Source organism: Homo sapiens, chromosome 5 (assembly GCF_000001405.40).
Source record: "Homo sapiens chromosome 5, GRCh38.p14 Primary Assembly".
Taxonomy (NCBI): domain Eukaryota; kingdom Metazoa; phylum Chordata; class Mammalia; order Primates; family Hominidae; genus Homo; species Homo sapiens.
In genome coordinates, this window is record NC_000005.10 from 77400180 (window position 1) to 77420233 (window position 20054).

Below are 20054 nucleotides of genomic sequence, written 5' to 3' on the forward strand. Positions count from 1 at the left end.
TGAGAAATATAGCAAATGGCATATTTAAAATCTTTCTCTTGTTTTATCAAACTTTTGAACGACTTTAGATTCACAAGATTCATCGTGATTCAGGAGACAATTCTCAGACAGGTGAGAATACTTCAATTGAACTCTAACATACTTAGGAGGCAGCTGTGGGTTCAAATGTATACATTTCTCTGAAGAAGTCTAAGTTGACATCTACTACCCCAGAATGTGGAGTGCTAAAATCCACGTGCTCATATCACAAGGTTGGCAAGCCAGAAGAAAAGCAGAAATCCCTTAAAATGTCCTTGAATCTTCCTTTATGGCAACCTTATCATACTGAACGCCCTCCCCATCTTGTTTTTCTTTTCTTGGCTAGATACCATGTAGGACAGATAAACCCAAGAGAGTGGGCCGAAAGTCTAGGGGAGACACTGGTTGAATATGACACAGGTGACAATATGGTAGTTGCTCAACCGTGTCCAGTCTCCCTTTTCTTTGCACTAATTGGTGACTGTACAGTTGGAAAATGTGGCTAGGTCCTGGCCTGGGAGGCAGAAGCACCAAGTTCCTATTTCAGTTTCCTACTCGCTCATTTCATATGTTGGGCAAGACTCTGCTTGGTTCTTGGCTTCCTCCATAAAAAGAGGAGCTGGACCTGATGACTTCTACAAGTGGAAAGGTCTGGAATTCTCTGACCATTAGAGGGAAAAAAAATCAGTCTGCTACCAAGAAGTTAAGATTTTTGTGCCTGCAAGAATTGCAACATTCTTTGCCCTGTTGGTGGCTTTCCCAGCCACTAATGCATGATGTCAGACCCTAGGCTAAGTGTTTAGTCTCTCTTCTTGGTGAGGTGGATCATATCTAGCATACTTAGAAAGATGTCATTTGCTCTTTCTAAGCTTCAAATTTTTTCATTTGTAAAATGAATTAACAAAAGCCCATCTCATTGTTAATGAGGATTAAAGAAGGAAATGTATAATGCTTAGCAGTAACTGGCATTTAACTTGTACCTTCCTTCCCCCTTTCTGAAAACTTTCTAGACATGAACAGGCTGGGATAACATAATGACACTTCACACACAGGTGCATTTTCTCTCTCTCCCTCACTCACACACATACATTTTAGTTAATTTCTTGTAACACCTGAGCAGGGGTATTATTTTAACTAACTTGGGAGCTTCTGGGTGCCACAAATTGTTCCAAGCATTTTTGTGTCCTTTGCAGTGCCCAGCATTGCCTTGTACATAATAGACACTTTGCAAATACTCAGCAAATATTGGTAAATTGAAACCATTCCATCTTGGAAGTACAGTTTCCACCATTTATTCTCTTTTTGATCTTGGGCTACCTACAAAATCTCTCCATGCTTAAATTTCTTATCAGTAAAATGGGGATAGCCCTATGTAGTTTTGAGAATTGTTGTAATGATTGAATGAGACAATTATTTAAAGTACATAGCACAATGCCTGTCACAAAGTAGGCACTCAGTAAGTGGAGCTATTTTTTTTTTTCAATTGGTGGCACATATTCCTTTTTGCCACAGAGTACAGCTGTTTAAATGTCCTTTATCCTTTCTCTGGCTTAAGTTTCTAATTCATGTAAACATCTGTTGAAAGAATGACAATGAATTCTTTAATTATGTGGCCTTACTTTAGCCTTTATTGAAGAATAATTTCTCTAAACTTTTAATCACTTCTATTGCTATAGATTCTCTTAATTTTAACTGAGATAAAATGAGGAAGAATAAACATCATCCATCTTTGAATAATTTCTAATGAACGACTTAGAATTCAACCAGCTAGCCTGGGCCACAGCCTTGAAGCTAACCTCTCTTTTAGTTTTGTTTAGAAACTACATTTTGAGGAATTCTTGGTTCTTGAATCTTGAATTTAATCTTAAATTTTTAAGTTAGATTTAACTTATTACTTGGTACACAAATAAATGCTAGGACTGTATATGATTATGAGGTCCCTGAATAGGCTAAACCAAGTGTCTCACAAGTGAGCAGTATTAGTTTCGTTTCTCAGGGATTCAGAAATGCCATGATCCCAACAATATCACTTAAAGTACTATTATTTATAGATAATTGTAAAAATATATATATATAGAAACTTATATGCAAGGATAGGTAAACTACTAAGGTAGAATTTGGAAGATAAAAATTAGGAAAAGAGATAGTATAATAAATATTTTAAGTTAGATTATTTAAGATAAGGTGCTATAGCTATGGTGTTCAGATTAACTTTATAATAGTTCCGCTTTCACTTCATGTTGTATAAAAATAATTCAGTTTTAATTTTTGATTTAATAATTTTTTTAGTTGAATCAGGTTTTTAGGACACTAAAGTAAATGGTTAAGAAGGTGGTCTAGAAAAGTGTCTAAGACATTATAAAGTGAAAACAGTAAGTAGTAGAACAATGTAACATGATCACATGTGTCTAAAGACATATATGCAAATGAACGGATGTAATTAATAGCCCCCATATACTACATGCTCACTATGTGGCAGACACTGTTCTAAATGCTATGCATATATTAACTCACTTATTTCTCAAAACAGCCTATAAATGAGATGCTATCATTACCCCCACTTCATAGACAAGGATAATGAGACCCAGAGAAGTTAAGTAACATTTCCAAGATTACACAGCTGCTGAGTGGCACAGTAGAAATTTGAATCTTGACGATTTGGCTCTGGACCTGGTTTCCTTAACTACTAGGCTTCTTGCACCTGCTGTCACTAGGCAATTCTTAAAGAAGTGTTATTGCATCTTTTTTTTATTCTTGGAATATGATCACTTATTGGCATCTGAGAAGCGCATTCTTCCTGCTGAAATTTGCATGTCTGCCTCCTCTCTTAGCCTAGTGAGGAGTAATCTGTGTTATGGTTAAATTTCTCTACTCGCTTATGAGTTACTCTCACAGAAGCAAATGCGCTGAAAATGTGTGTTTCTGAAGCCAACACTGCTGCCTTGTCATTTTTTATATCTCGGCGCTCACTGGTGGCATATGCTTTTTGTTAGTTTTTACATTAACATGACCGTGCGTTTTCAGTGTTAAATTCAAGTCTGCAAAGATTTAGGCCAAAATTCTTTAAATGTTTGCCTGCCCCCACCACCCTGGAAAATAGGGACAAGGGTGAAGGTTTAGTTATTGAAATGTTGGGGGAATCTAAAACTGTTTTCTTCCTTTCCTGTGATCAGCAGTATGCATCATTTGATGAAATCCATCCTTAAAGAGAATCTAGAAGCCCATCTAGAGGTCTGACTTTTCAGAGGTGCCAAAATTCGTCTGAATTAATCTCGTAATTTAAATCTCTATAAGTTTCATTAGTATTATATTTCCTCAAATATCCCCATTTAAAAGCCTTCCCTATCCAGTTGAATATATTGTCTTTCAAGTAAAGATTTAAAGTACTATTATTTATAGATAATTTTAAAAATATATATTGAAACTTTTATGCATGATAGGAAAATTACTAAGGAAGATAAAAATTAGGAAAAGAGATAGTATAATAAATATTTTAAGCTAGATTATTTAAGATAAGGTGCTATAGCTATGGTGTTCAGATTAACTTTATAATAGTTCCACCTTTACTAGTTCAATAGTTCCCCCGAGAATGTCCCTCAAGTTTTAATGTTTATTTTCTTAAATTCTTTTTTTTTTTGGAGACAGAGTTTCACTCTTTTTGCCCAGGCTGGAGTGCAATGGCACAATCTCAGCTCACTGCAACCTCTGCCTCCCAGGTTCAAGCGATCCTCCTGCCTCAGCCTCCCAAGTAGCTGGAATTACAGGCATGCACCACCATGCCTGGCTAATTTTTTGTTGGTTTTTTTGAGACAGTCTCGCTCTGTCACCCAGGCTGGAGTGCAGTGGCACGATCTTGGCTCATTGCATGCAACCTCTGCGTGCTGGGTTCAAGCGAGTCTCCTGCCTCAGCCTCCTGGGTAGCTGGGATTACAGGCATGCTCAACCATGCCCGGCTAATTTTTGTATTTTTAGTAGAGATGGGGTTTCACCATGTTGGTCAGGGTGGTCTCGAACTCCTGACTTCGTGATCTGCCCGTCTCAGCCTCCCAAAGTGCTGGACTTATAGGCATGAGCCACTGTGCCCAGCCTAATTTTATGTATTTTTTTAGTAGAGACAGGGTTTCTCCATGTTGGTCAGGCTGGTCTCGAAACCTGACCTCAGGTGATCCACCCGCCTGCCTCAGCCTCCCAAAGTGCTGGGATTACAGGTGTGAGGCCCTGCGCCCGGCCTAATGTTTATTTTCAAAATTACATTCATGTAACTAAATAACCCTTGATACTAAGCTATATTACTATGATATAACATGGCATTATCTTAAAAAACCATCATTTAACTAATATGACTATAATTTTTGTCTTTCATGATTTGAAAAGAAAGTGGTTGACTGTTTCTTAAAATTATTTTATAGTGCTTAAAAAGTAACCTTGTTTTCTTTAGAGAATAAAGAAAAAACATGTTTGAATCTCTTCTGTGAATACACGGAAAACTAATCACCTTCCCTTTCTAATCTGAAATCCTTAGAGCCTCATTCATTCAGATATAAGAACAGGAGGAAAGAGTCCATTGACGTGAAATCGATATCATCTCGAGGCAGTGATGGTAAGATGTTTTTCAGATTCCTCTGACCTTTTTAAAATGTAGAAAATGATGGAAGAATATGTTAAAAAATTCATCAGCGTATAAACTCCAAAGAGTAAGAGTTCAACAACACCGACTTATTTTTCAATAAGCTCAAAGGTTTTAGGGGTTTTAATTATTTTAATTATTTTTAAAAATCTTATGCTGTAGTCTTTGTCGTCTCTTTGGAGGGACTCCATGCTTGTTCCTTGATGGCTTGAAGCATGTTGAGCCATAACCACCCAAGCAACTCAGAGTTTTAGTAGCTGAACAAGGTCACTCTTGGGTGCTAGAGGCAGAGAGGCAGCCAGTCCTGGCTTCCCAACTCCCAACACAAACCTAGTTTTCAGTGTACCAGCTATATGCACTCACTTCTTAATAAAATGTCACAGAGAAATCGTGAGGCAGAATTTAGCAAAATGTTTCTGCCCTGCAAGGCAGGATTTAGCAAAACATTTTTTGAGTTCCATCAGCCAGGCCTAAGTAAACAACTGGATTTGCAGGGAGATGGAAAAGTCAAAGACGATTCTGACATTTCATTCCTCGGTGTCTGGGAAATTTTAAGTCATATATACAGAAATGGAAACGTCTCCAGGTTTTGCTAGGTTGGGGGTTAAGGAGAAGATGATGAATCTTATTTTAATGGAGATGGCTAGGAAGCTAACCTGCAACCCTGGTACTCGGGGCTATAGATGTGGAGTTGGCAGTCCTAGTGGTGACAGGTGAAGCCAGGAGCAGAAGAACATCTCTAAGGGGTGTGTGATGTGCATGTAGTGAAAGGACAGAGGGTCCAAGCCTGAGCCTGAAGGCATAGTCTCAGCCAGGGGGTGGGCAGTGGAAATAGGGCCAGTAAAGAGGACAGAAGAGCTGGGGGTGACCATGAGAGTGCAGTGTCACATGAACCAAGAACAAGAGGGGATTGAGAAAGGCGGTGGCCAGCAGTGTTAGATGCTGTGGATATCAGAACTCGAGAGCGGACAACAGACTAGTAGATTTCACTCGCTCATTTGATTTTTATTTGGCAAATGGGAGGACACGTTCTGGGGTGTGAGGAGGGGATGGTTAGTGCCTGTGATAGAAAAGAGAGATGAGGCTGGTAACTTAAGAGAGTCAACAGAAAGGACAAGGGAGGGACTTTCCAGTCCTTCTGTACACAGTAGGAAGACTGAGTATGAAAGTGGCTGACATAGGCCAGGTGCGATGGCTCATGCCTGTGATCCCAGCAGTTTGGGAGGCTGAGGCAGGCGGATCACCTGAGGTCAGGAGTTCGAGGCCAGCCTGATCAACATGGTGAAACCCCCTCTCTACTAAAAATACAAAATTAGCTGGGTGTGATGACGCATGCCTTAATCCCAGCTACTCAGGAGGCTGAGGCATGGGATTCGCTTGAACCCAGGAGGCGGAGGTTGTGGTGAGCTAGATCGTGCCTCCAGCCTGGGCAACAAGAGCGAAACTCCATCTCAAAATAAAAATAAAAATAAAAAAAATTTAAAAAGTGGCTGACATAGCAAGAACCAAAGATGCTAGAGACAAGATGATAATTCACAGGGCATGTGAGGGACAGTAACCAATAATATAAAGAGAATATGAATCGAGAGATTTTTGAGATGGATTGAGCGGATAGATAGAATATTTTAGTCTGAGAGGATAAGGGATGAGGGAATTTGAACTGGATTCACTGTTTTTGGAGCAGAACTTGAAGGGGACTGTCTTCTTTCCAGTACGGGCACAGTGGAGGCTGAAGAGCATGCAGGTCTGCAATGGCTGCTGCACTAGCAGCGGGGGGACCCCAGAGGTGGCTGAGCAGGAGGCAGGCTCTGATGTGGGGTGGGTTCAGTGATCCCATCCATGAAATGGGACTCCCCCTCCTGCCTGCCTCAGAGGGGGTGGTAGGAAGATCTGATGAGAACAGTGCTTTTCAAGTCAAGCTTCTACCCTTGGCATCTTAAACCAAGTATAAACATTAACTATGTAGAAAAATAAAAGATTTTTTAAAAAATGAAAGCTTCTGTAGATTTGAACTAGAACTTCCATGGGTTTCTGGGAGTTAAGAGCCTAAAGGCATGGGCAGGCGGAGTGACTGGCCCTAATTCAGACTGAGAATGGGCTCAATCCTCCGCCCTGACCCTAACCATGAACTGCCTCCCCTCTCAAGCTGGCTGCACAGTCATCTGGTTACACGGCCAGCAGCTTAGGACTGAAAGTCATGGAACTGCAAAAGTTGGGTTTGGGTGACTTGGGGGAAAGTGAGCCGTGTGGGGGTCATTAAGCTGTTGGAATGAGGCCTTTTTGGACCTCATCAACCTTCTCTGAAATTCCCCTTGTGGACTTGGGGCTCAGCAAGCCCTCCTGCCTCCAAAGTTCCAGGCCAGATCGCCTTTCCAGACTCAGGCAAGTAGCAGTTGGGCTACCAGCCTTGGCAGAAGAGATGGGTGAATTCATGGCTTTTTAGGTGGGAGGGTGGCCCTGTGAGAAGCGGGCCCTGGTCCATGAAGGGACTCCTTTGCTGCACTTAGCCACACTGAGCCACCGGAACTGGACACAGCTTTCTTGCCTTCTCTCCAGCACCAAGCCTGCAGAATCGTCGCTATCCGTCCATGGCGAGGATCCACTCCATGACCATCGAGGCTCCCATCACAAAGGTGAGTGGCGGCTGCTGCCTGCACTCTGCAGTCAGGGGCCCTCACACAGGGCCGTGCTCTGAAAATACATCACACTGACATCATGGAGCTCAGTCTAGTGGAAGAAGCAAATAACAGGCAAATAAACACATAGCAAATAAACACCTCATCCTAAGTCACAATCAGGGCAGTGAAGGAAAACAAGCGGGTTCTGTGAGAGAAAATTAGAGTAGGGCCCTTAAGTAGGTTGGAAGAGAGGGTGGTCAGGGAAACTCTCAGTCATGTTTGAAGCAAGTCTTGAAGCATAAGATGTTACTCAGGAGAAGAAGGAAGAGAAGACTCCGGGTAGCAGGAACAGCCAGGGAAAAAGCATTGCAATGGGCGAAGAGGGACTGGAACATTTAAGGAGCTGAAAGAAAGTCGGAGTGGCCGGAGCTTGGTAAGCAGGTGAGAGAGGAGGAGGATGTAGGTTGTACAGGGCTCAGCTCATTCTGGACAGCAGGGACATAGTTAGGAGTTTGTATCTTAGTTTATGTGCACTGGAAACCACTGAAGAGTTTCAGGTGTGGGGTGGGTGATGTGACCAGATATGTTTGTTGAAAAGAACACCCAGCTTCTGTGCAGAGAATCGATTGGAGGTGGCAAGAGAACAGGTCAGTTAGGGGGCTATTCTAGAAGTAGCTGAGCTAGAATTATAGCTGTGGAGGTGGAGAGAAATGAATAGATCAAGAAATATTTTGAGGCAGACCAATAGGACTTGGTGATGAATTATATTGCCAGGGTAGGGAGAGGAATGAGGAAAAGTATTATGTCAGGCATGGCCCTCCCAGGTTTTTGGTGTGAGCATGAAGTGCTTTCTTGATAGAAAATGACATGAGATAGAAGTGCTTTCTTTTGCAGTGTAGAAACCACAGAAGGTGAACAGCTTTTGTCTTTGATTTTTTTGTTGTGTGTGTTTATGTGATTTCTATGGAGAGAGGGGAACAAGACTGCAGTTTAGTGTTAGACCTGTGAGATATTCCAGTAGGTATGTCAGGTAGGGAATTGAATGTACAAGCCTGGAGGTCAAAGGAAGTTGAGGGCTGGGAGGTATATCGAAAGTCCCTAGCTATAGGTGTCCAAAGTCGTGGAGACAAAATATCATTTCTGGAAGCGAGAGAGTGAGAGAGGGGCCCAGAACAGATCTCTGAGCAACTCCAATCTGTAGAGGAGGGCCAGGGGAGGTGAATCTGCAAGGGAGCCTGAGGAAGCCTACTCACTGAGACAGGAGAACATTCACCAGGAGCCCGCAGGGAGAAAAGCATGCTTCAGGAAGAAGGGCGGTGCCGTGAAAGCACTGGTCATTTTGAATAAGAGATGGTTACCCACTGATTTCTTTTGGATTCTGGGCATATATATGACTTTTGGGAAGTAGAACCCTATTATCCTCAGATGTATTCTTTCTTCACTCCGTTAGGTTATAAATATAATCAATGCAGCCCAAGAAAACAGCCCAGTCACAGTAGCGGAAGCCTTGGACAGAGTTCTAGAGATTTTACGGACCACAGAACTGTACTCCCCTCAGCTGGGTACCAAAGATGAAGATCCCCACACCAGTGATCTTGTTGGAGGCCTGATGACTGTGAGTGATGAGGCAAAACCTGAAAAGCAAGAGAGGTATCCGGGGCCTCTAGAGTGCAGCTGATGTGGAAACTGTTACCTGTGGTTGCAGAAGTACCTGTTATATAGACTAACGTTAGCATAACCAGAAGCAACTGCGTCAGAATTTATGTATAACATGTGCAGTGGTATTTGAGTGACTCTTGCATTTGTCTTTCCATGAGGCTGGCCTACCATAGCCATGGGGACAGTGTTTCAGAATTCCTATGACTGCAGGGAGTCATTGGGCAACTGATGGAGGGCTCAATGTGCAAGATGGGGCTTTGCAGGCTCTTGATTATTCCTGCTTTCCCTTGATCTGGTATAGTATTGGATTTCATTTCCATGGACCTCAGATTCCTCATGTAATGAAAGGGTTTATTGTTAGACTATAGCATTTAATCTTAACTATAGAATCCTTTATTTAAAGTTTGTATAGAAGTTCCATTTATAAGGTAAAAGCAGACTGGGGCTGTTCTGGCTCAGGGAGGGGAAGGGGAGAAGGAACCTCTCACTGCCACATTCCAAAAAGAACCATTTACACCACCAAGAGTAGCTGGTTTCTAGGGACTCAACCTATTCTGGTGTTTTGCTGTGATCTATTTGGCTTTCATAATTATCTATCAGCAAGTAAAGAAAAGGAAAAAAATTCAAATTGTTTATTTGAGTTCCCCATCAGAGTCTGAAGCTGGAATTCTTTAGAAAAAAAGTCCAGAAGTCATGTATGAGTTTGACTTTGAAGGTTTCTGTCCAGCCCTGCAGCCAAATGCTGAATGTTGACTGCCTTTCCCCTCCATTCTCCACCTGGAACTTGAGGGCCTTCTTGTTTCTTTCTTGCCCCTGGGCTGGCCTGTTAACTCCATCTAATGCAGTGCAGACCTCAGCTTCTAGGCAGCACTGCCAAGGGCTCTGCAAGAAGGTGGCCACCGCAGAGCTGCAGTGGGAGGGGTCTGGTTCTGGGAGCAAGCCATGTTCCCTCCCTCCCCTGCTGCTGATGCAGGACAGGCAAGTCCCCAAACTGGGGCTCAGCCCGGGAGGGTTCTTGGCCTCGCCCAGGAAATAATTCAAGGGCAAGCTGGTGGTGTTAAACAGCAACTTCTATTGAAGCAGCAGTTGTACTGCAGTGGCAGAGGGACTGCTGCTTGCAGAGCGGGGCTACCCCATGGGCAGTGTGCCCCTGGTAGCAGCTCAGAGGCAGCACTGCACTCATCTTTATACCTACTTTTCATTACATGCAAATGAAGGGGCAGTTTTTGCAGATATTTCTAGAATGAGGGTGGTAACTTCTGGGTTGTTACCATGGAAAGGGTGGAAAGGTCTGGATGTTGTCATGGCAACGGTAAACTGCCGTGGCATGCTGGTGGGCATAGCTTATGGGGAGGTGCTTCTGCCCTGTTCTACCTAGTCCTCAATTTGGCCCCATGTCCGAGTCCCTTCTCCTACCTCACTGCCATACCATCGTGGGTTTCCTCTCCAGAGAATGCTGTGAGGAACCAGTGAGTGATTCCACCTCAATTTTATGTGGTTTTGGGGAAGCGGAGCGAGAGAAGAGCAAGTAAAACCAAGAATCTCTTGCCATACACACGTTACAGGCAGGACAATTGTGGCTGTTGTTACTTCTGTATTTACTCAGTTTTTAAAATTAAGCTCTTGGCCTAAAGATCCAACATGTAACTTCAGGGGAGTCCTTCATTAATTAATACTACTTTAAACCTTAGCACACATCGTCTGGGAATGACAAATAAGCATTTCTTTTTTTTTAAATTTAATTTTATTATTATTATACTTTAAGTTTTAGGGTACATGTGCACAACGTGCAGGTTTGTTACATATGTATACATGTGCCATGTTGGTGTGCATTTCTAAATGACTTTTAAGCAAAGATCTAGATGATTGAGGTACTCAGAGATCAAAGGTGGAGGGAAGGAAACTGAGATTCAGGAACACTTGGGGACTAGTTCAAGAGCCAGGATATGGCCAAGCATTGGAATTTCGTCCACTCTCTTAACGCTGCATCTCCAAGGACCTCAAGCCCAGAAACTCTTCTTTAAAAGGCAAGCAGCAATGCTCATGTTTCAAAACATAAAATACAGTTGGGGAAAAATTAGTTGGGATATTAGTCAAAAAATAGCTCAATCTTTTTAAAACTTTATATTAGAAGGTAATCCCCTAAATATGGCTGATGGCTTCAACTCTTCAAAATGTAAGTCAAAAACACAATTAACACAGTCCCTCTGAGGGTGAGGGGGATCCCGTCAAGATCTGAAGCAAGGTCACTCCTGTGATTTCACCTGTGTAGCTTGAAAATGCCAGGAGAGGAAGATGGCCTCAGAACAGAGCCAACCCACAGCTCACTGTGAGTCCTGACACAGTCACATCCACTCTATCCCAGTTCTCCACGTTCTGGGGCTAATAGTTACAGAAGGGAGAGTATCATCTGTCTTATAACTGTTGTGATTTAATTTTGAGCTTTGCTTCAACTTAGACTTCCAGATTGGTTGGGTTATTCAGGATTCAAATCTCTTTCACTAATAATAAAAAAAAAAAGAGAATGATAATAGATATAAAGCATGCTTCTAACAGGCTCTTCCTTTATTCCAGGACGGCTTGAGAAGACTGTCAGGAAACGAGTATGTGTTTACTAAGAGTAAGTTTTCATCTATTTACTTGTTAGTGTAACCTGTCTCCAGCCTGTGCTGTCCCCGCTGTTGCGATTATTGTTCTGGGAGGTGTTACTTCCAGCTAGTCCCATTTGAGTTTAAGCATCAATATGGTCTACATTTAAAACTAGTCTCCTAATTAAAATTACTTCTCTGAGCACAGTTAGAGTAAGAATTGCAAATCTCTATACATTTAAACAGAGTTAAAGTGAATTATTTTTCTATTTGAGGGTCTTGAAGTTCAATAACAGAAAAATCAGGTACAAGACTTTTTTTCTAGTAGTAACTATGAAGATGATGACAGACACCCGGGCACTCAAGATTCCACAATTAACCAGCCTCCCCCATCCCATCTGTTTGCTCAGATGTGCACCAGAGTCACAGTCACCTTGCAATGCCAATAACCATCAATGATGTTCCCCCTTGTATCTCTCAATTACTTGATAATGAGGAGAGTTGGGACTTCAACATCTTTGAATTGGAAGCCATTACGCATAAAAGGTATGTGACTTCTCTGGCTGAAGGCAGAGCAGGATTGATGGCCATGCTCAAACTCTCACATTTGGAAACTTTGAGGGAGACATGTTTTTGCTGTGAGAGACCTCACGGGTTCTGGCTCTCATGCCATGTTAGAGTAGTGTTGAATGAGCAGAGAGACTATGGCCCCTGAGTGAGATCCTTTGTGGAGAGTATTAGTAAGATGTGGGATCTGCCTGGGTATCCACAGCTCCCTCCTTTGTGCTAGTGAGCCAAGAGTTCTAAGAATCCTCAAACTTGTCGAAGCTCTACCCTACAGAATGGAATTGAGAGCACTATAGATTTTTTTTTTTTTTCTGATCCATCCTGTAGGCAGAGGAAAGATTAGATAACTGAAAGGTCTTTTTCTATACTAGGAGAAGGCTGTTTCTTCCCAGAGGTGTTGGTCTGTTGGATATGAAAGATTCTCACCTGTAACGTAAATAAGTAACAGGACTCTAAATGATAGGACTTTGGGACCATCCAAGCTGTTTTTTTTTGTCCTTAGGCTTAGTCACTTCCTTAGGGAACATAAATAAAGTGCAAGGTTAATGTGGAAGTGGGGATGGAGAGGGACTGCCAGGCTCATTTCTAGGTTGTCAGAGCCACTGAGGGGCCTATGATTTAGAGTTCATCTAGAAATAATTTGGATGTACTACCATGAAGCATCTAGTTCCAAAGAGGTGACTGGTGAGAAGGAGAGATCCTACCTCCTAATTTTTAGAGGAGATGCTTTTAAACCCCTGTGTGTGTGAAGCTATCATCAGAAGAAAAATGCTTCCATGCCCCACTATCATCAAAGAAAACAGTTTCTGGGCCAGTGAATACAATGAGCCAGGGTGGGTTTTCCTATTTTTCAGGCCATTGGTTTATCTGGGCTTAAAGGTCTTCTCTCGGTTTGGAGTATGTGAATTTTTAAACTGTTCTGAAACCACTCTTCGGGCCTGGTTCCAAGTGATCGAAGCCAACTACCACTCTTCCAATGCCTACCACAACTCCACCCATGCTGCCGACGTCCTGCACGCCACCGCTTTCTTTCTTGGAAAGGAAAGAGTAAAGGTAGGATTTTGATATCATGACCTAGTTACCTGCCTGGATTGGAGATCCAAGAACTTAATCTTAGTAAATACATTAGGCAAACAGCTATTTTGCAACCAAGTTGACAGCTTTTTTAAAAAAAAATTTTGTTACCAAATTGACTAGTCACTTTGGTGTTGTAAAGACATGGACCTTTCTGCCAGCCCTCCCCTCCTCCAAATACTTAAAATAATTATATCACCATAGAGACTCCTTTATATGCATGGCAGATCATGAACCCATTTTCCAAATGTTAGCTAGGAGCTGTGTTACGGGGTTGCAGGACAGAACTTAATTATTACAGCAAATGGTTACTAGATCTATAGGTTAAATTTTAGTATCAGGATTTGGCCATTGGTAGATTACAGTCCAGATATTAATAATAGCCATTCCGCATTCTACACTGTTTTACATATATTTATGTTTGTGTTTTGTGTAGGTATGAACGTGCCTATCTTTATATTAATGACTTTTGCATAATTCTGAAAGAGTTCCATATCCCTTAGTCTTACAGTTCAATACTGTCATGTACCACTGCTGATTTGTAGGGCAGCCCTAGGAACCCCTTGCCCTTTACATAAGGGCAGCCCTATTTAAAGCTGGCAAGAGATCCCCATCTCTCCTCCTCCCCAGCTACCATCACTTGCACACCAAAGCTTATACATTCTTTTGCTACAACTAGAACTAAAACTTAAATTTTAAATACCCCTGGGAGAAGTGCCATATGGGGATTGAAATTCACATCTATCTGTAAATGCCTGACATTAGATCATTTTCTTAGAACCAGGTATTGAGGGATTAAGGTCCTAGGTACTTAAGAGCTATAGTGAGACAGGTAGAAGCAGAAATGGCAGGAAAACAGTAAGGGGGTATGTGGGTAAGGTTTTCTTCTCAGTTTTGCCAACAGCATCCTGATATTTATTCACTTTCATCAGCAAGGAAACAATGTGGCCCAAGAATGATGCTTTTGAATAATTTTGTCTTCTACTTTTAGAAAACTAATAGTGATATCAACCTATGTTTCTATAACACCTTTCTTTGAGGAGCAAAAACACCCTGGATTCCTACTACAGGTTCATGCTCCTCTTTTTTAAAATTTTTTTATTTTTTTGAGATGGAGTCTTGCACTGTTGCCCAGGCTGGAGTGCAGTGGCACGATCTCAGCTCACTGCAAACTCCACCTCCCAGGTTCCAACAGTTCTCCTGCCTCAGCCTCCTGAGTAGCTGGGACTACAGGCGTAGGCCACCATGCCCAGCCGATTTTTTTTTTTTTTTTGTATTTTTAGTAGAGACAGGGTTTCACCATGTTGGCCAGGATGGTCTCAATCTCCTGACCTCGTGATCCACCCGCCTCAACCTCCCAAAGTGCTGAGATTACAGGTGTGAGCCACTGCGCCCGGCCTATGCTCCTTTCTTTTATACCACATGATGTTTCACAGCTGAAGCCACATGCTACCAGTTGAGAACAGCACCCAATTCATTAATGCCAAGACCAAGGTGATCAATAGCCTCTGCAGTCTTGAGTTAGAGGTGAACCTCACTCAAGCGGAACCACTCTAGGAAAACATTGATTAAATTTTTGATAAATTAGGGAATGCTTAGTAACTTGATCATATCTTACTATCCTCCTCCAAAATATATTTCTTTAAATTGTGAGTTCTGCTAGTGTATTTGGAGTCTGATTAGATTTCTCAAATGACAGCAATAGAAACAAGTTTAAGATTGGACAGAATATGTTTACAATTCAAAAAACATTTTCTCATGCTGGCAGCCCCTGCCAGAGAACCAGAAAACTTAGAGCTGCGAGGAAGCTTGGAGAACTGAGCTGGAAGGGGTTTCTGGGCTCAGAGGTTTGGTTACCTGCCTGTGATCACTGGTGGGTCCATCATGAGGTGCTTCCAGAAAGATTTACTCCTGAGGCCTCTTCTACCAGATCTGCTGGCACTGACAAAGAGGGTCAGGAAGTATTTTCTTACTTCTCTTGTGTCATCTGTCACCCCTAATTTCTTTGTGATAAGCTAAAATTTTTTTTTTTTTTTTTTTTTTTTGAGATGAAGTCTCACTCTGTCACCCAGGTTGGAGTGCAATGGCATGATCTTGGCTCACTGCAACCTCTGCCTCCCAGGTTCAAGCGATTCTCCTGCCTCAGCCTCCCGAGTAGCTGGGATTGCAGGCACATGCCACCAAGCCCAGGCTAATTTTTGTATGTTTAGTAGAGATGGGGTTTCACCATGTTGGTCAGGCTCATCTCGAACTCCTGACCTCAGATAATCCACCCACCTCGACCTCCCAAACTGCTGGGATTACAGGTGTGAGCCACTGCTTCCAGCCAGGCTAAAATTCTTAATGTCACTATGACAAAGCATGCCCAACCCAGCTGTAGAGCTAGCATGCCCAGAGCTAACAGCCCCTTCAGTTGGTGACAGACCCCATCCTCTCCCCATGTTACCCAATTCCAGGGAACTAGTGCAAGTGGAGAAGCCAGGATAACAAGCATTCCTTTATTAGTATCTGAGCATACATGAATATTTATCCTGAATAAGAAACTATTTGAAAGACAGATCTAGAATGAAACCCTTTCCTCAGTGTGATCCAGATCTACTCCTACTGGTTAAAGAGGGAAAAAACTATGCAGAGGTAACTGCACCTCCACGGGACTGGAATTTCGCCAGTTGCGGGTTTGGTGGGGTTTTCTTCCATGGACATTTCCTCCTCGACGTAGGGCCTTGCTACTCTCCTCTGCTAGTGAGCTAGCCTGTCTTCCTTCCCTACCTCCCAGCCATTTCTGGTCTGACAAGGCCTTGTTGGTGCCCACCTAAACTGCAGGACCCATTATTGGTATCTTTGTAAGTCACTGAGGGCATGGTTTAAATCAGTGTTAGCTGGAAGGAAAGGCATGTTTCATCTAGTGCTATTTATGTTTTCTACCCCAGTTACTTGAATCTATTTCATTGAAGAATTAAAAAATAAACAGGCCTGAGACTCCAAGCAGGATTGAACATACCACAGTGGCACTAGCTGGAGGCCCAGAGTTTGGGCCCCGTGGGTTCTCACTGCTCAGGTACAGTCAGTGAAGGTGGAGCCCAGGTTGGGGCTGTCCTGGGTCCTGAGCTTGGAGATCGCTGAACGTGCCTGCAGGTGACCGTGGCCTCTCCTGACCAGCAGTGAAATGGGCCAAATGATGCTTGCTTGCCCTGGGCACTGCAGAATCAATCTCTGAGAACAGCTGAGAAGAGTAACTTCTGCTGTCCCTATTCAGGAAGCCTAGTTGTGTTGATTGGGGTCACCCCAGGGTTGCTCACCAGCTCCATGGGGTCAGCGTTGGGAATGGAAATGACTCCCTTCTGGTGGAGACAGAGCTTTCAGGGAAGCCTGCTAAACCAGCACAAGCAAGTGCAGCCCCTTGGCCATCAGGGTGCCGTTGCAGGACAGGGCTGAGCTACAGGTTCACCTTCCTCACCTGAGTAGCAGCTCTTCCTCCTGCAGGCCTAGGAGAGCAAATTCTGGGAATACCAAAAATGATGACCTCCCCACCCCCAACATCTTGGGGACCACTTTCCCTCTCACTATCCCTTCAGCCACAGTGATGTCGCTTACGTTTCCTGAACAGACCTTTTTTGTTTGACTTCAGGAACGTCATGCAGGCTGTTCTTTCTGCCTGGAATTGCCCTCTTGCTGCTTGTTGCCTGGACAATTCCTGCTTCTCCTTCAGGCTCAGCAGAAAAATCACTTCCTTGGAAGTGACCACCCTCGAAATCCATGTTATCCGATATGGTAGCCATCAGCCTCGCATGGCTACTAAATAAAATTTAAAATGCAGTTCGTCAGTTGCACTGGCTACCTTTCAAGTGTCCAGTAGCTGCATGCAACTAGGAGTTACTTTATCAGATAGCACAAATAGAACGCATTCCTGTCATGGCAAAAAATACATTGGACAGTGCTGCCCTAAACTAGACCAGGTCCCATGGTTATACTCCCAAAGCATCTGTACTTTCCTTCTTAGCACGTCTCACAGCAAGTTACTTCCGTTTGTGTTTTTAAATGTATTTGTCTCTCTCCCTCTACATTACAAACTCCATTGTGCAGACTGTGCCAGTGTAAATCATCATGGCAGCTCTGGCACTATGCAGTGATAATTGGTACCTGGTAGGCACTCAATAAATAATAAATTCCTAGCACAACATCTCTTATATAACAGTAGCCCATCTGATAACTCCTAAAGCTGCAGGCTCAGAAAACACTTGTATCCCCGGATGCTCTGGTTTGTTTCTTTAATTACATAATGAGAGCTTTCGAATTAGGGTTTCCCTTTTTGCCTTTGCTGCCTGCTAGCCCAGAGCTGAATTTTGTTCTTATTTGCAAGAACCCCTTTAGCCTTAATTTTCCTGGCAAAGTTATTCTTTCCCTTGGTCTTCTTTTACTGCTTGGTCCTCTTTTACCTGGTACTCTTTTACTCTTCTACAGCTCTAGTCATTTCACCATTGTATGAATAGTTTTGTTGTATCTGAGCCATTTGCTACCAGCACACTCAAAATCTTTTCAGAGCTAGGCAAATTGGTAATAGTTGTGATCACAGGCCACTTTCTGCTGTGGCAGAAATACCATACAGTGGGCAATTCAAAAGGCTTGTTTGGCCTCTTCCTGCAGCTGATGGCCCCTGGAGAATGAATTAAGCGTCTGCTGTAACTGTGGCTCAGGTTGCCCTCCAGATAACAGACAGCACAGTAAAGCGATGCTGCATGTCCGAGGCCGCCTCTCCACATCTAGGTCAGAAGGCTCAGCTGGCTAAAAACGTTCTGAAAATCTCAAATCCCCTGACCCGACCCTCCGCACAGACAAGGATGGATGTGGGTCTCCAAGATCCAGTGGGTAATGCTCAACCTTGCCTCCCCATATCCCAGGGAAGCCTCGATCAGTTGGATGAGGTGGCAGCCCTCATTGCTGCCACAGTCCATGACGTGGATCACCCGGGAAGGACCAACTCTTTCCTCTGCAATGCAGGCAGTGAGCTTGCTGTGCTCTACAATGACACTGCTGTTCTGGAGAGTCACCACACCGCCCTGGCCTTCCAGCTCACGGTCAAGGACACCAAATGCAACATTTTCAAGAATATTGACAGGTTTGTTGTGCTGGGGCTCCTGTGCTCAAGTTTGTGAAGTTTAAGTGGTTTTCCCAAATACTTAGCTTCCTCTTAGGGGAAAGGGAAAATATTAGCTGTCCCACTGTACCAGATGATAAAATAACCTTGCCCTTAACTTAATTTGACTTTTCAGACTGCCTTTATGTTTTGAAATCTCATTTGGTCTTCAGTGAGTTCATAAAAATGTTTTATACACTGCAGAACACTACATAAATATTGATTGTACTATTACTAAGTACACCAGATATTTTTACCCTCCTACGAGGACATCCTGTCTTTTGTGTAACTCGAGGAAAATGTATCCACCCCCATTTTTCCCTAGCTCAATTTCCGGCCGCTTAAAATACTCCCTCATGAGTAGGTCCCACAGAGCGGGAGCACGAAGGGTGGGGCAGGTTACCCCAGCCCCGCATTCTCTGATGAGAGTGGGTTAGATGTGAGCAGGTCCTCTTGCCTCCCAGCACCTTGCAGTCAGGCTTGTGGGTATTTCCCACACAGCACCAGCCAGGCTGGTGCACAGATGCCTGGGAAGGGGGCAGTGTACAGAGAACATGGAGCTCACTCGGGCCTCAGGAATGCTGGTCTATGTGAACCTATTGGTTTGGTCTCCAGAAAACTGGGAAAACATGGAGATGAGTTATTCCAGCTTTGGCTTCAGCTTCATCAGTATCGAGGATGGGTTTTTAAACTTTTGCAGAAAAAATTCTTTCCAGTAGCCAATTTTATTCAAGAGCCATTCTGGCTCTTGAAGTTAGAAAACGACGACAGAATTGGATGGTTAATTTGGGGCAGGGTTGTTGCTTCATTCATTACAATTTCTATCTGCTGCAGTCTAGAGAATTACTTATTAACAGGAAAGTCTTCCAATGCCATCATTGAAAGAGGCTGTGGCCATCCTGTGCAATGGGAATCCCTGTGTTTGCACAGAGTGCAGTGGGCCAGCTTATGTGGCTGCCGTGCCAGCCTGCCATTTCCTGCCACCTTACTGTTTTGATGTTCTCAAGGGAAGGGAGAGGGGAATCACCTTGTCAGATAAACGTCCACCATGTGACAGGTACCTTCTCTCTTTTTTAAAATACTCATAAATCACATAAGGGTCAGCTATCACTGGGGAAAATGGAATAGCATCTGCAAGTCTTGCTTACTGGGAGGACGAGCTCTTCTTGTGATCTGCACACATTTCTTAACTCTGTGCCCCAGCTTCCTCCTAGGTTGTGAGGAGTGTAGTGAAATGGTGGCAGAATAGTTATAATTTGAGACACGCTGTGAACAAGCCCCTTTGTCTTGTGGTTATTTTAGGAACCATTATCGAACGCTGCGCCAGGCTATTATTGACATGGTTTTGGCAACAGAGATGACAAAACACTTTGAACATGTGAATAAGTTTGTGAACAGCATCAACAAGCCAATGGCAGCTGAGGTGAGTACTGCTTTCCATGCCATAAGGCACATCCAAGTACATTTCCATAAGAGCCTGCTCTGGCCCTGAAGCATTTTCTCTCCCACTCAAATGTAAGGTGGTTATTTACTTGGAGTTGATAAAGGGCTGAAAGGACTGGCCACTTGTTTTCCTTGGGGATGAAAATAAACTGTGTCCACAGCAACTCTGAGCTCCTTGAAAGAAAGGCCCTGAGAAAAAGCCAGTACTGACCAGAAAAGCTTGGCCCAAAGAATATGGAAGGAGACGCAGACGAACAGAGACTGGCATAAATGGTGGTATTTTAGAGAATCCAAAGCCTTTACTTCTCTGTTCACTGAGCTCTTGG

The 20054-nt window shown here is 43.3% G+C and overlaps 1 protein-coding gene across 27 annotated transcripts in view; it reads left to right on the forward strand.

Moving 5' to 3' along the window:
* Nucleotides 1-20054, forward strand: part of PDE8B (phosphodiesterase 8B) — a 341542-nt gene that overhangs the window by 313465 nt on the left and 8023 nt on the right. For 26 of the 27 annotated variants that reach the window (NM_001414622.1, NM_001414623.1, NM_001349750.3 and 23 more), the window contains 9 exons: nt 69-111; nt 4541-4618; nt 7202-7278; nt 8714-8878; nt 11497-11542; nt 11921-12056; nt 12932-13130; nt 18050-18267; nt 19588-19708. In NM_001414622.1, the coding sequence (NP_001401551.1) occupies nt 69-111; nt 4541-4618; nt 7202-7278; nt 8714-8878; nt 11497-11542; nt 11921-12056; nt 12932-13130; nt 18050-18267; nt 19588-19708 (1083 nt within the window). The remainder of the gene's footprint in view (nt 1-68; nt 112-4540; nt 4619-7201; nt 7279-8713; nt 8879-11496; nt 11543-11920; nt 12057-12931; nt 13131-18049; nt 18268-19587; nt 19709-20054) is intronic. The other variant, NM_001029852.4, reaches the window with a different exon arrangement.